The sequence below is a fragment of the Homo sapiens genome, chromosome 1 (assembly GCF_000001405.40).
Source record: "Homo sapiens chromosome 1, GRCh38.p14 Primary Assembly".
In the NCBI taxonomy this organism is placed as follows: domain Eukaryota; kingdom Metazoa; phylum Chordata; class Mammalia; order Primates; family Hominidae; genus Homo; species Homo sapiens.
Genome location: NC_000001.11, coordinates 22,610,798 through 22,625,818, shown reverse-complemented (window position 1 = coordinate 22,625,818; position 15,021 = coordinate 22,610,798). Strand labels below are relative to the sequence as shown.

General features: G+C 52.3%; 1 annotated feature.

The window, feature by feature from the left end:
- Positions 14,069-14,363: a silencer, noted in NCBI's record as "tiled region #15208; HepG2 Repressive non-DNase unmatched - State 10:DNaseD, and K562 Repressive DNase unmatched - State 25:Art". NCBI's record gives its function as "represses a minimal TATA promoter and a strong SV40 promoter by Sharpr-MPRA in HepG2 and K562 cells {active_cell/tissue: HepG2 | K562}" and the evidence as "EXISTENCE:reporter gene assay evidence [ECO:0000049][PMID:27701403]".

Below are 15,021 nucleotides of genomic sequence, written 5' to 3'. Positions count from 1 at the left end.
CACCCTCCCCTCCTCCCTTTACCTTGTCAGGGCTGTCGTTGTCTCTGACAACATCCTCATAGAACCCTTCTAGCAACACCATCCCTAACGGGTCCCAGTGGAGCTGTCCGGGGTCCTGTCCTCAGCCTGAGCACTCCAACGTTGCCCAGACTTTCATCGGTTCTGTGCCATTGGGCTGGGCACCCAGGAATCTAAAATGAAAAACATCCAGATGTACCTTTGGAGAGCTTGCATGCTGCTGCAGAGGCAGACATAGGAATAACTCCAGGACTGAGCAGGCCATGGGGCCCCAGAGACACCCAGAAACAAGCAGTGGGTAAGACAAGAGTCACCCCAGTGCAGCAATCTTGGGAGACTTCTCAGAGGAGGAGGCAGGAGGTGGCAGCAGTGACTCACCTTGTTGCTCATAGGCTCCTCTCACAATTCAGGTCTGAGTCCCAACTCCTCTTCTTCCCACTGTGTAGCCTTGGGGCGCACAGTGGAATCTTCCTTCCTAAAGCCTTAGTTTTCGCATCTGTGAAATAGGACAGTAAAAGTACATCTTCATGGGATATTGCAATGACTGAGTGGATTAGTATGTGTGAGGTGCTTTACTCAGTGCCTGGCATGCAGTAACGTGCAGTAAACAGTTGTTCTTATGACCTTGTTTGGCCTTTGCAACAACCCTGTGAGAGAATAGAAATAACTAGCGTTATCACTGTTGCACAGATGAGAAAACTGAGGCTCAGAAAGGGCAAGTGACTGGCCTAAAACCACACAGTTAAGAGCTGGCTGAGCGTGGACTGGAAGCCGGGCCTGTCTGGCTCTGAGCCTACGTTCACTGTGCTGCTTGGGGTTAGCATTTGTGCCCTCAGACCTTGGATCTCACCTGCTTATTCTAGCCTGGCCGTATCTCCCACTCTTTCCATGTCTCGAACCCCCAGCCTGACCCTTTGAGACCCCACTATTTTTTTATTGTGATAAAATATACATACCATAAAATTTACCATTTTAACCATTTTAAGGGTGCATTTCAGTGGCATGAAGAACATTCATGCGACCATTGGTATGCAGCAATGCTCTTTGTCACCGTGCAAGAACATTGTTATGCGACCATCACCACCGTCCATCTCCAGAACTGTTACCATTTCATACTGAAACTCTATACCCATTAAACCATAAGCCCCAACCACCCTGACAGCCACCATCTCATTCTGTGCCTCTGTGAATTTGACTATTCTAGGCACTTTGTTTTTCTTTGACCTTGTGCAGTGGCACGATCTCGGCTCACTGCAACCTCCACCTCCCAAGTTCAAGCGATTCTCCTGCCTCAGTCTCAGTAGCTGGGATTACAGGCGCAAGCCACCACACACAGCTAATTTTTTATATTTTTGGTAGAGACGGTGTTTCACCATGTTGGCCAGCCTGGTCTCGAACTCCCGACCTCAAGTGATCCGCCCGCCTCGGCCTCCCAAAGTGTTGGGATTACAGACGTGAGCCACTGTGCCTGACGGTACTTTGTGTAAGTGAAATTATGCATCCTTTTGTGACTGGCTTTTTTCACTTAGGATAACGCCCTCAAGGCTCATCCGTATTATAGCATAGATCAGAATATCATTCCTTTATAAAGCTGACTAATATTTCATTGTATGGACAGACCGTGTTTTATTTATCCATCCATCCAGTGATGGACAGTTGGGTTATTGCCACATTTGGCCATTGTGAATAATGCTGCAATGAACACAGGTGTACAAAGTCACCACCTTCCTGAGACCTCCATGGGCGCCACTCCCCAAGAGCTTTGCCAGGATCCACAGGTCCCAAACTGCCCATGATCCAGGAACCAGGGCCCACCCAGCCCATCACCCACTGGCCGCCTTGCTTCCCCCTGAGCTCTGTGCCTTTGCTTTCCCTGCCTGGTGTGTCTTTCCCCAGCATCTCCATCATCCAAAGCCACTCGCTCATCAAGACTCATCTTGAATGTCCCCCGCCCACACCCATAGCCTTCTCTACTTTCCTTGTACTGTGTCCTACCTCTAGCCCCCACCCTCTGTCTGTCCCTCACTTAGGTCTCTGATTATTATTATTATTATTATTATTAGTAGTAGTAGTAGTAGTAGTAGTAGTAGTAGTAGTAGTAGTAGAGACGGGGTTTTACCATGTTGGCCAGGCTGGTCTCGAACTCCTGACCTCAGGTGATCTGCCTGCTTCTGCCTCCCAAAGTGCTGGGATTACAGGCATGAACCACCGCACTCGGCCTCTGTCTCTGATTATTTTAAACCTTAGACTAGTGTTACCTGTGACTGCCCCCTCTTCCAGAATAGGGAATTTCCTTCAGAATCTTGTTGAGAGGACTAGGCACGGTGGCTCACGTCTGTAATCTCAGCATTTTGGGAGGCTGTGGCTGCAGGACCCCTTGAGGCCAGGAGTTTGAGACCAGCATGGGTAACACAGCAAGACCCCCGTCTCTTAAATAAGAATTAGCTTGTCCAGGCATGGTGGCTCACGCTTGTAATCTCAGCACTTTGGGAGACTGAGGCAGGCGGATCATGAGGTCAGGAGTTTGAGACCAGCCTGGCCAACATGGTGAAACCCCATCTCCACTAAAAATACAAAATTAGCTGGGTGTGGTGGTGCATACCTGTAATCCCAGCTACTCGGGAGGCTGAGGCAGGAGAATCACTTGAACCCAGATGGTGGAGGTGCAATGAGCTGGGATTGCACCACTGTACTCCAGCCTGGGCAAAAAGAGCAAAACTCCGTCTCAAAAATAATAATAATAAGAACAAGAATTAGCTGGGCATGGTGATGCATGCCTGTAGTACTAGCTACTCAGGAGGCTGAAGTGGGAGGATTGCTTGAGGTCAGGAGTTTGAGGTTACAATGAGCTATGATCACTACTGTACTCCAGCCTGGGCAACAGAGTGAGACCCTGTCACTGAAAAAAAAATATTGCTGAGATGGACTTCTCTTGAATATAAGGCAAAAATGGAAAAAAAAATGAGAGTCCTCTTTCTTTGGAATGTGTCTATCTGAGTAAAATGTGTCTAATGAGTAAAGCTGGTCCCTTGTGCCGGTGCAATGAATTAGAGGTAATCTGGCTTCCTGAGTCTTGCTATACTTTCTTTTCCAAGTTAGATAAGACAGTCACTTACCAGAGAAGCATCCTAGACAGACTGGGTTCAAATCCTGGCCCTGCCCCTTCCTGGCTGTGTGGTACCAAGCAAGTTACTTTATTTCTTGGCACCTCAGTATGTCCGTCTATGAAATGGACATAGTAATATAATCTACCTCATATGATTGTGACAACAGTTAATGGAGTCAATAGGGCAATGTCTTCGGAACAGTGACAAGTGTATAGTAAGCGTTCACTAAATACCAGACATAATTTATTAAAGGAATACATAGTGCAGGCTCAGGGAATCTTTGCCAAATTAACGGGAAGAGTGAGACCCAAGAGGGAGTTTGGATCCAAAGTAAGCAGGTGCCTGGGGTCTAGAGACAGCTGCTCAGCCTCCCTCCACTGAGTGGGTAACATGTTGCTGGCTGCCCACACTGCAAGGCTGTCCTGGGCATTAGTGTGGGGCTTGGGGTGGAGGCATAGGGCAAACAATGCAAAGGGCCCTTGACCCAGCTCTTTCCTCCTCAGGGAGAGGGACTTCTGAGCAACCTTCTTGGGAGCCCCCACTCCCTGGCTTTCTCCAGGCAGACAGGTAGTTGCTGGGAGAGCCAGGTGGGAGTTGGCACATCTGGGCAGCAGCTGTGGGATAAGCCATCCTCCCCTCATCCCCCACTCTCCACAGTAACCGAGGCTGCAGGGGGATTTCTGAAGGCTGGGTGGACCCTGGCAGGAAGGAAAGGAGGCAAACGCCCATGGGGTGGACTCTAGGGCCAGCCTGGGGTGATGGGCGTAAGTGCCAAGTCGCTCTTGGAGGCAGGTCATGGTCAGCAGTTCTGCCCAGGCACCTGGAGAGGGCACTGGGACCCTGGAGAGCCAGGTTCTAGGCCCAGTGGAGCCTGTGCTGCCTCAGCCTCCTTCTCCTTTCTCAGGGTTCAATAGCTTTGTCTCTAACAGGTACTATCCTGCCTGCCCCATGGGGCTGTGGGGCGATGCTTCTGAGAAGATGCTCGAGGCCAGGTGCCGTGGCTCACACCTGCAATCCCAGCACTTTGTGAGGCCAAGGTGGGCGGATCATTTGAGGTCAGGAGTTCAAGAACAGCCTGGCCAACATGGTGAAAACCCATCTCTACTAAAAATACAAAAATTAGCTGTGTGTGGTGGCGAGTGCCTGTAATCCCAGTTACTTGGGGGGCTGAGGCAGGAGAATCACTTGAACTTGGGAGGTAGAGGTCGCAGCGAGCTGAGGTCGCACCACTGCACTCCAGCCTCGGCGACAGAGCGAGACTCTGTCTCAAAAAACAAAACAAAACAAAACAAAAAAATCCTTGTGAAGAAGCTACCCCAAACCCAGGCAAATCTAAGGGCATCAAAGTCCTGCCGGTGGGTGACTCACTCAAGGGTCTCTCCCACCATCCAGCAAACAGTGGAGCGGGTCTGAACATAGAGAGAGATGTTTATGGAGCAGGAAGAGGGCTGGCTGGGAGTCCTCTGCTCCCTCTGCCCCTCTGTAGCCCATGTGCTTGCCTTGAGTAAGCAACCCCATCTTGGAGCCTCAGTTTCCCATCATGGATGGCACCATGCAGGGCCAGGCATTTTTTTTTTAATTGTATCTAAATGTTCACCACTTCCCTGCATGGTAAAGATCTCATTCCTGATTAGGTGACGTTGCTTGCCCTAGGCATTAGCACATGTGCTGTGTGGCCTTGAGCTGGCACCATTGCCTCTCTGAGCACCAGTTTTCACATCTGTAAAATGGGAGTGACACTCTCTCCCTTGAAGGTGCTAAGTATTGGTGGACAATGAAAATCCAAGTAAGGGCCGGGTGTGGTGGCTCACACCTGTAATCCCAGCACTTTGGGAGGCCGAGGTGGGTGGATCACCTGAGGTTAGGAGTTCAAGACCAGCCTGACCAACATGGCGAAACCCTGTCTCTACTAAAAATACAAAAATTAGCTGGGCATGGTGGTGCACTCCTGTAATCCCAGTTACTTGGGAGGCTGAGGCAGGAGAATCACTTGAACCTGGGAGGCGGAGGTTGCAGTGAGCTGAGATTGCACCACTGCATTCCAGCCTGGGCAACAGAGCAAGACTCTGTCTCAAAATAATAATAATAATAACAAAATAAAATAAAATAAAATAAAAATCCAAGGAAGCATCGCTGAGGTTTGAACCAAGGGCTGTCGCACCTGCCCCTGCTGCACACCAGGCTGCCCCTGTGGGTAGGGGTTGGACAATAGGATCTTCAGGAGTCTTTGCAGCTTGACTTGGACACTCCCAGGCCTTCATCTAAGCCTCCGGGTTCCTTGGAGCCCCCTCTGTCTCACTTCATTTGGCCTGTTGCCTGATTTTACCTGAGGGCTGTTTTTGATGACATAGCAGCTCTTGGTCCCCCAGCCCCATTTCCCAGAACCCAGGTGTGTGTGGGCATCTTCCTTGGCAATGAGGTAGCGGCCATGACTTCCTGAGGCTCTCAGCATCCGTGAGGGGCTAACTGGGGGCGCCACTCTAGAGCACCCTCCTTTGCTTCTCAGCAGGAGGGAGTGACCAGGTTATTTTTGTGATAAAAGTTGAATAAATTGAAAGGCACGGTTTTTATTCAGTGGGTAATTAGCTGCCGCTGCTGCACTCCCTCCTAATTGTCTCTCTCACTCCAGACGGGCGGAGGTCAATAGGAAGCGGCCACTGTGCGGTGAAAGTCACAATTAATTAATTGCCGGGCATGCGTGTGTCTCCATCTCTGTCACATCAAAGGGCCTGGGGCGGCAGCTGCCCAAGTCTCAGCTCTGCTGGGCCGGTCCAGCCCAGAGGCCCCAGATGCGTGTGACCACGAGCCACAAGGCAGCCTTCCTTCCTCTCCCTCTGGCAGCAGGAAGCTCCTAGAGAAGGGGTCCCCTGAGACCTCAAGCTTATCATCATCCCACCACCCCCAAACGTCCACCATAGCATCCCTGCCTTGGATACCCCAGCCCTGGTCCTCTGGCTGCCCTTTGCCCATTCAGTCTATTCTTTTCCCTGCAACTTTGGCTGTATCTGTGATCAGAATAGTGGTTACTTCTGCTGGTGGAGGGGAGGTAGTGACTGGGACAGAGAACGTTCTGGGGTGCTGGAGATGCTCTACATTTTTTATTCAGGTGGTGGTTTCATGGGCATACCCCTGCATCATAAGCCATTTGACGCAAGAGCCAAAGGTACACTTAAGATGAATGCAAACAGTTACACACACGCAACACCCCTCCCCACTCAGTAATAACCACTTCCGTTTATGTGCCAGGCATGGAGACATCAGGATGACGAGGATCGCACGGCCAGTGAGTGATGAAACCACAGGCCCTGCTTAAACATCTCTCCCCTAATCTTCACCACCAGCCTTGAAGATAGGTAGCATTATTTCCATTTTACAGATGGAAAAACAGAGGCACAGAGAGGGGCTGGGAAGGAACAAAGGTGAGGAGAGGGGAGAAGAGGATGGAGGGTGGTGGGGAAAGCGGAAGGGAAGGGCTTGTGTATGTGGAGGGCTCATGTGCACCAGGCATGAGCTTGAAGCTCTGCGTACCTCCACCTCTCCATGAAGGTGGAGCCATGTGTCCCATTTTGTAGACGGGGAAGCTGAGGCTCAAAGAGGTGCAGTCCCTTGTCTAAGGCCACACTGCCCGGAAGTGATGGGCCGCATCTGGAGTTGCCTCACTCCAACGTCCCTGTGATGGGAGAAGGATGAAGAGCGGGAGGACAGAGATGGTGGGCAGGGCGGGGCGGGCTGGAGAATGCACGGAGCCGGGAGGCAGGTGGCCTTAGTGACTTACAGAAAGAGCTGGGGGTGAGAGGGGGCCCGAGGCAGAATGAGTGAACCTAGCAAGGTGTGAGTGTGAAATAGGTGCTGCTAAAAGACACCACCATGTGGGTGCACACATACGTGCACACAGTGCACACACGCACCCACACTTCTACACTTTTGCTCCATTCCAACCTTTGCAGAGGACTTCCTGCTGCCTCACGGGGGCCAGCGTTTTCAGCTTCTCCTCACCTGCCTCCAAGGTTTGCTGTGCCCCACATACTGCCTGGCACAGAGATGGGGCTTGGCATGTGGGCTGGGAGCTGGGCAGGGCCATGCTGGACTCCGGCCACCCGGCCCCCTGCCCAAGGCCCTTGGCTGTGCAGGTGAAGCCTGGCTTTGGGAAGCATCAGCCTGTGTGTCCCAGACCCCAGCCAGTGCTCCTTTGTCATCCCTCGGCTCTCCCAAGCGGGCTCCTCTGCCCCCCTGGAGCTCACAGGTTGACAAATATTGTAACAGCTTCCTGCTGGTGGGGGAGGCAATGGCTGTCCTTCGGTCTGCTGTTTCTCAGTGAGAACACCGCAGCAAGTCCAGCCTCCCGCTCCTGGCTGGTCGTCAGGGGAGGCCACCTCCATGCTCCCACCAGCGTTGCCGCCTGTCACTGTGCCTTTGAAGTGGTGCCTGATTTTCCAGTCTGTCTGAAGTTGCTCGCTGTTTATGCAGCAGCTGGTCCGGCAAGTCCCCCCGCCGGGCCTTTCCATGACGGTGCCAGCCGCTGGGGACTCGGGGAGACAGCCACCGGGCCTCCGGGGGGATAATGGGAAGAAGCCGAGATGCCATTTCTGTCTTCAGGGTCTTCTAGACTGAGTTTGCTTATTTTTTGCTTAAAAGGACAAAAAAAAAAAAAAAGAGTTTCTATGAACCCCAACGTGCTATCTCTCTTCAAAGAAAAGGGAATAAAGATTTAAAGCAAAACAAAAAAAAAAAAACACAAAAAAAAACAAGAGCCAAAGGTAAAACTCACATTTCTTTGAACATTTTTAAGGCTGCAACTGCTGCATGGAAGAAGGTGCTAGACAGGGAATGCTTTTGCAGATGCTAATGTGCCGTGTGACCTTGGGCAAGTCACTGCGCTCTCTGACTCTCTGCTTGTTGGATCCCCTGATGAGGTTTCAGTGGGCTCTACCCCACACCACACTGTGGGACTCTCACAGGCCGTGCTGTTTGCTGCCCCCAAGACTCAAACCCAGAAAATCAGAGCAGGGAGGTGGAGGGGCCTCCAGGGATCAGCGAGCAGGATGGTCCCTTTCAGACATGGATGTGTGAAATCTCCATTGTGAGGATGTCACAGCTGAGGGTCAGAGGCATTAAGTGAGCAGCCTAGGGTCACACAGCAAGGGAGTCCATGGTAGAAGCAGAATTATTGAATCTGTGTCTTCTGCCTCCCCAGCCAGGGGCTTCTTCTCCTGCCTCATTAAGCTGCAGAAGGAAGTTCCCAGAAATCAGGGGCCACCTTTATGTAACTTACATTTTTCCATAGAGACCTTTGGGAGTGGAGTTTAAGGGTGAAGGCTCGGAGGTCAGACAGAACTCGGTCCTGCATCTGCCACTCCGTTCACGTGACTGCATGCAATTGATTTCACGTCCCCGATCCTCAGTTTCCCTAACTGTAAAATGGGGCTGTTCCTCGTGCCTCCCCATGCATAGCTGTGAGGGTGAAGGAGAGGACACAGGTGAGGCGCTCAGCTCACAGACTGGCACGCTCAGCTCACAGCCTTCCATCAATGCCAGCAGCCACTCCTGTGAGCCTTCAGCGTGGGGCAGGAGCCTCTTCTGTTTCCTTCATCAAATTCTTGGGGTAGGAGAGCACCCTGGACTGTTCTCCCAGGCCTGCTTGTCACATCGCAGTTGTCATCCCACAGCCCCTCCCACCAGAGCCCCTTCCCAGGAAAGACAGGCAGCCTCCGGCAGGATGTACAGGAAATGTCAACCTCATCTCACCCAGAAGCCACTGCTGACACTGATGAGACCCCCGGCGGGCGGGGCAGGCAGTGAGCGGCTCAGGGCTCGGCCGTGCCCCCACTGGGCTTGGCCTTTCTTGGTCTCCCTGTCACAGCTCTAGCTCCAACCTGGGGAGGCGACCCCTTAGGTTGCTTGGGTCACCTGCCTGGCTGGGAAGCTGTCAGTCTGGGGCTGGCCTTAGATGGAGCTGGCGGGCAGGCAGGTGGGGGGCCAGCTTCCAGCTAGCAGTGCAGAGGGCACGTGCCTGGTGGGCATGGGCTCAAGGCTCGGATGCAGAAGGAACTGGTTTGGAAGCCTGACTCTGGCTCACTGTGTGACCTGGGGCAAGTTAGCTCGCCTCTCTAGAGGAAGGTTCTTCAGCTGAAAATGTGCCCAGGGTAAAGGGTCTCCCAACAGGGCAGCTGGGAAAACTGGAACGATGGCAGTTGGGGACACACAGAGTAGCAGCCTAATGAATAGGAGATGCTATTCATTGTGTTGTGTCCCCGCCCTCTCAGGTGGGCAAGAGAATCATTCAGTCAGTCATTCACTTATGCAATAAGGCGGCTTTGCACACTTACTATAGTTTGCCAGACCAGTTCTAGGCACTGGGGAGACAGCTGTGAACAAAGAGACTAGGCTCCTTGCCTTCATGGAGCTGACATTCTAGTGCAGAAGGAAGGGGGGCTGGAAGGGGAGGCTGCTGGAAATCAGAGGCCCAAGGAGGACAAAGAATGTGATGAGGCCACAGTAGAAAGAACACAGAAGACCTGTGTTCAAAGCCTGTCTCAACTGCTAACATGCTGTGTGACCTTGGGCAAGGCACTTCCTCTCTCTGGCCTTCAGTTTCCACATTTGCAAAAGGAGACTCATCACCCTGCCTTGCATCACCGAGAAGCAAGTCTCCAACGAGGCCAGTCTTGGAAAGTCACCAGGAGAATGGGTTCCTCTGCCTGCCTAGCTCCCCTCCCCTGAGAATCACAGCTGGGCACCTAGTAGAGGAGTAGGGTGTGACCTGTGGCTTCTCCCCAGCCTGTGAGCCCCAGTCCAGCATACCCAAAGCTACAAACCTGAAAATGGCCGCTCCACATTTTGAAGTCTGGTGCTCACCTGAAGTGGAGGCAGGAGCTCTGCACATCTTCTCCAGCCCTATGCCTCTGGACTAAGACCCCCTCCTTGAGATCCTGTTTCTTCCAGTCACCCTCTAGGTGGGATTCTGGGGATCAGAGTAGCCTTGCAGCTGGAGAAGACCAGCATTCATTCATTCATTCATTCATCCATCGTCAATCAGTTGGTCAGTCAACAAACACTCACCTAGCATTTACCAGGTGGCAACGCCATGCTAAGCACAGGTTATTGGGGTGTGTCAATTTCTTCAGCAAACACTGAGCATCTCCTCTGTTCTGGGATTCCATACCTGGAACTGGGGATGAAGTGATTAATTGATTTATTAAATGTTTAGAGGCACCTACCATGCACCCTGTGGTGAGTGTCAAAGAAATATGGAGGCGGCTGGGTGTGTTGGCTCACGCCTGTAATCCCAGCACTTTGGGAGGCTGAGGTGGGCGGACCACGAGGTCAGGAGATCGAGACCATCTTGGCCAACATGGTGAAACTCCGTCTCTACTAAAAATACAAAAATTAGCTGGGCTTGGTGGTGCGTGCCTGTAATCCCAGCTACTTGGGAGGCTGAGGCAGGAGAGTCGCTTGAACCCAGGAGGCGGAGCTTGCAGTGAGCGGAGGTCATGCCACCGCACTCTAGCCTAGCGACAGAGTGAGACTCCATCTCAAACAAAAGAGAAAAAAGAAATCTGGAGGCTTTACTCTGTGCCAAGCACTATGATGGGCACAGGAAGCAGAGTCATGGGCTCCTTGAGCACCAGCACTGAGCCAGGCACCATGCTGGAGAGCAGCGGCTGGCGTTTTGTATGCGGACATGAAACCCGGAGTCTCCCTGTGGCTAATGAATCATCGAGCTTCACAAGAGAAGCGCGAACGGACCCCCTTGTCCATGAATTTGCTAATTGAGCTCCTCAAACTCAGACATTAACCTGCATTACCATAAATACTGCAGAGAACAGCCGTTCTCAACTGCTGCTCAATGGTAATGGAGAAAATCAGTCAAGGGATAAAACTGAAATGGAATCAGAAAACCTGATTTTTACCATTAATTCAAACCTAGTTTCCCCCAAATACCTTCAGCTAAATCTTTCTCTAACACTCAAGGCTGGAGAGAAGAGCATGGGGATGGGGGCTGGAAGAAGGGAGAGGCTTGGCCATGGAGGCTGGGGAGTGTAAACTGGGACAGGGGCTTGAGGGTAGGAGTGGGTCTGTTCTACCTCACTGGAGGCAGCCAGCCCTGGCCCATGGCCTAGAGGAGTGACCTTGGTGATGAGTGAGCTCAGTGCCACACATGAGAGAAATGGGCAGAGAGCTGGGGATAGCAAGGGCCAAGAGTGGGGACAGAGAGACAGAGGGGGCAAGAAGTGGATGGACAGGCAGACAGGCAGCTAGAGGGACTGATTGACTGCCAGGTACACAGAGGAAAACAGACAGGCAAACAGAATGACAGATGGACAGCCAGCCTGACCCACAAGAAGCCTGATGACCCACAGGTAGACCGACAGCATCACAGGCAGACAGACAGGCCCAGGGACAGTCCAAGCAGCAGGTCCAGAGAGAGGCAGACGGCCAGGCTGTCCATTGAGAGGACCATCACATGGGCTGACACCAGGCAACAGGGACTGGAGGCTGGAGCTGGGGACAGAGGCTGGAATCGCTGAGCCCTCCCTAGACAGGTTAGCGGGAGGAGACCTGGCAGATGGCTTCATATTTCGTGTTAAGCCCCTTGCGTGATGAGACTGGAGTGCGGGGTGCTCCCCTGGGCCCCAGGCTTCCCGGCTTCTTCCCCCTCCTCCTCCTCCCCCTCACAGCCACGTGCATGATCTGGCACGCAAGGCAAGGAGGCTCAGAGCAGCCGTGACGTCTGCTCCATGGTTGGGCAGTGGGGGCACTGCCTGGACCCCTATGTGGGCCCCGTTGTCTGTGGGGGGCTCAGACCCAGTTTAGGGTCCTAGCCCTAGGGACTTGGACTTGGGGGGTTGGGAAGTCCTAAAGGGAGCCTGTTGGGCTGCTGCCCCATCCCTCTGCCTCATTCGTCTGTTCCATCTGACCCTGGCTGCCACACTGTGTGGTAGATTCTGTTATTGCCCCCATTTAACAGAGCAGTAAACTGAGGCTCAGGGAGAGGAGGCAGTTGGGCCAAGGACTTTCAGCATCGGGGGGTGGAATCTTTCTGTACTGGGGGCCGGGCTGCTCACAGGAAGCTCAAGTGTGCTCTGCTCTTCCGTAGCTGATGTAGCTGCTAAGTCCAATGTACTTTGGCAGGGCAGTGACTGTGCCGGACCCTAGAATTCCCTTTAGGAAACCTACTAGCTCTCAGATGGAAGCCACGTTGACAGCATCAGCTTCTTCAGTGATCCAAGTGCCTCTGGTATCCATTGGGAACTGCCATCTGTCTCTTATTTGGTCACAAAGTCAGGTAAGGCAAACCCCTGACATCTGGAGCTCTGGTCACTCGACTCCCTCTTGCTGACTGCCCCCCATCCCTGACACCAATGTGACAGGAGGGGAGTAATTTGGGGCTTCCCTGAGGAGTAAATGGGGCGTCAGCACAAATCACCTTGATTTTCATCCATTTCTCTCTTTGGTTGTGAGTCATCAAAACTCACGACAAGAAATACTTCCATTCATCAAGATAACGATAGCAGTGGTGGGAGCGGCAGGAGCAGTAATGGTCATTTATTGAGTGTTACCCAGGAAGAGGTAAACTGTGTTCCAAGCCCAAGACACATTAGCTCACACCTCACAGTGACTCCGTGAGGCAGGCATCTGCCCCATTTTACTGGAGTGGAAGCTGAAGCCTCTCTGGCTTCTCTCAAGTCTCTTGGTGAGAGGCAGAGCTGGGATCTAGACTCCAGTCTGATTCTAAAGCCTGGGCTCATTATGCTGCCCCAGGCTGTCTCAGAGATGGTGCAGGAGCTTAGCAGGGCTTCTGAGAGCTGTGGCTGGGCCGTGGAGAGGGAGGGAGGAGGGGAAGGTGGTGGCAGATGGTGGGTGGGGCAGGCCAGACAACCCACGGAGCCAGGAGGCAGGTGGCCTTAGTGACTTCCAGGCAGCTTATTCCAAGCCCTGGGCTGCTGCAGGTGAGAGACACCGTCCCATCCCTCATGAAAGAAACACCAGTGTTAATCGGATCAGGCCCCACACCCTAGGCTGGGTGCCTCATCCATTTTTCATTTATTTCTTCCTTAAAACTCAACCCAAGGGGAGAAAGAGGGGAGGGAGCTGAGAGAAGGCTGCGGGGCGTGGGGGAGGGGTAGAAATGCTCTGCCTTCCGGATTGGTTCAGGGAGTCTTCGTAGCACAGAGGTTAACAGCACAGGCTTGAAGTCAGACTCACCTGAGTGTGACCCCAGCCCAATTACCTCCTAGCTGTGTGACCTTGAACAAGTCGCCTTTCTTCTCTGAGCCTCAGTTTCCTGATTTGTATCATAGGGCTAATAATACATATACCTCTGGGTTGTGGCCGGCACATAATAGGTGTTTAATAAAAGGCAGCCATTGTGCCTAAGAGCTGGCCTGCTGCCATGAGAATCCTAGAAAAATAATGTTTTTTTCTTTCTCATTGTTGGGAAGCTCACTTCTTTTGGAGGCAAAAATGATTCCTTGTTGAGGAACTCTGACAGTAAGAAAGGGTTTCTTAAGTGGAGCTGAAATCTGTCTTCCCGAAGCATCCACCATCTGGTTCTGCAAAGATCTAGCCTGGGTTCCTTTCCCGGGAGAGATTCCAAGGGACCTGAGGACAGACAGCGTTTAGTGATGCTCCCGCATCCTCACCAGGGTCTTGCCACCATCTCCCCATGCCATGGCGTCCAGACCCCCACCACCACGGTTCCATACCCTGGACACACCCAAGGCCCTGTTCTTTCCCTTCAGCTCAGGCCAGCAAGTATCACAGCCAATTCCTGGGTTGCATCAGCCTCACCTTGCCCCTGCGAAGCTGTGTAAGGGGTGTTCAGGCTACAAGAGAGGCAAGGCTCTAGATGTGCTAGGCCAGCATAGAACACGATGGGAAAATTGTGAGTTTCTGCTCCCAATAATCCAGCCCCAGGTCCTGGGGACTTCTTGGGAACAATGTTTGCAGCCTCTCGAAATCAAGAAGTAGCCCATCCCAGCCCAGGACCCAGAGGTAAGAGCCAGCGGATGCCGCTTCAGCACCAAGGACAGCTCAGCCATGCTATGGATCTGCCTGTGTCTTGCTGAGTTGGAGGCTGAGGGAAGCCGACGAAGGTGGTGGCTGCATCCTCAGAGACTTGGTGATGAGCTGGCAGCCCAGGTTGTGTGGTCACAGGATGGGAGTGCTGACTAACTGATAAATGAGCGACTAATTGAATGTCTTGGTTTCAGCCATTGCTGAATTGCTTTCTCAGAAAATTAGGGAACCTTCAGAGAAAGCAATTGGACTTGAAGTTGAAGGCAAAGTCTTAACTTGTCCGAACCTCAGTTTCCCCAGCTGTGAAATGGGGAGGAAGATATACAGTATATAATATATCTAACGTCCTGGTGCATAACCCTTCTGAGAGTTGGCCTTTCTTGAGGATACAGCCAGGAGTGTCTGCCTGGCCGGGAGGGACACTGGGAGGATCTTGAGGGAAATATATTAAGCAGGACTCTGGGGCTCTGCTGAGTATCTGCAGTTGAACACTCCATGTCCAGGCTGTTCCTGCAAGGATCCTTGCGTGGAGGCAAAATGATTCCTATTCTGAGCGTCTCAACAGACATAAAATTCTCCTGGGGGCAACATGGGGGTGGGGAGAGAGGAATCAGAGGTGACCATCCTGGGTTGGCATGTGCACAGACACACACAGCTCTCTGTACACATAGGCATGCAACTCACACCCAGTCACAGCCTGGCCCATGTCACAGTCATGGAAACACACGTACACCAAGCACACACACATACAATCGTGTATATAAGACTATACCTACACCAATCACACACACACACGCACACGTACACGTGTTTTTTTTTTTTTTTTTTTTTTTTTTAGGCAGGTTATCGCCTAAACTGGTCATTTTTAAAATTACTT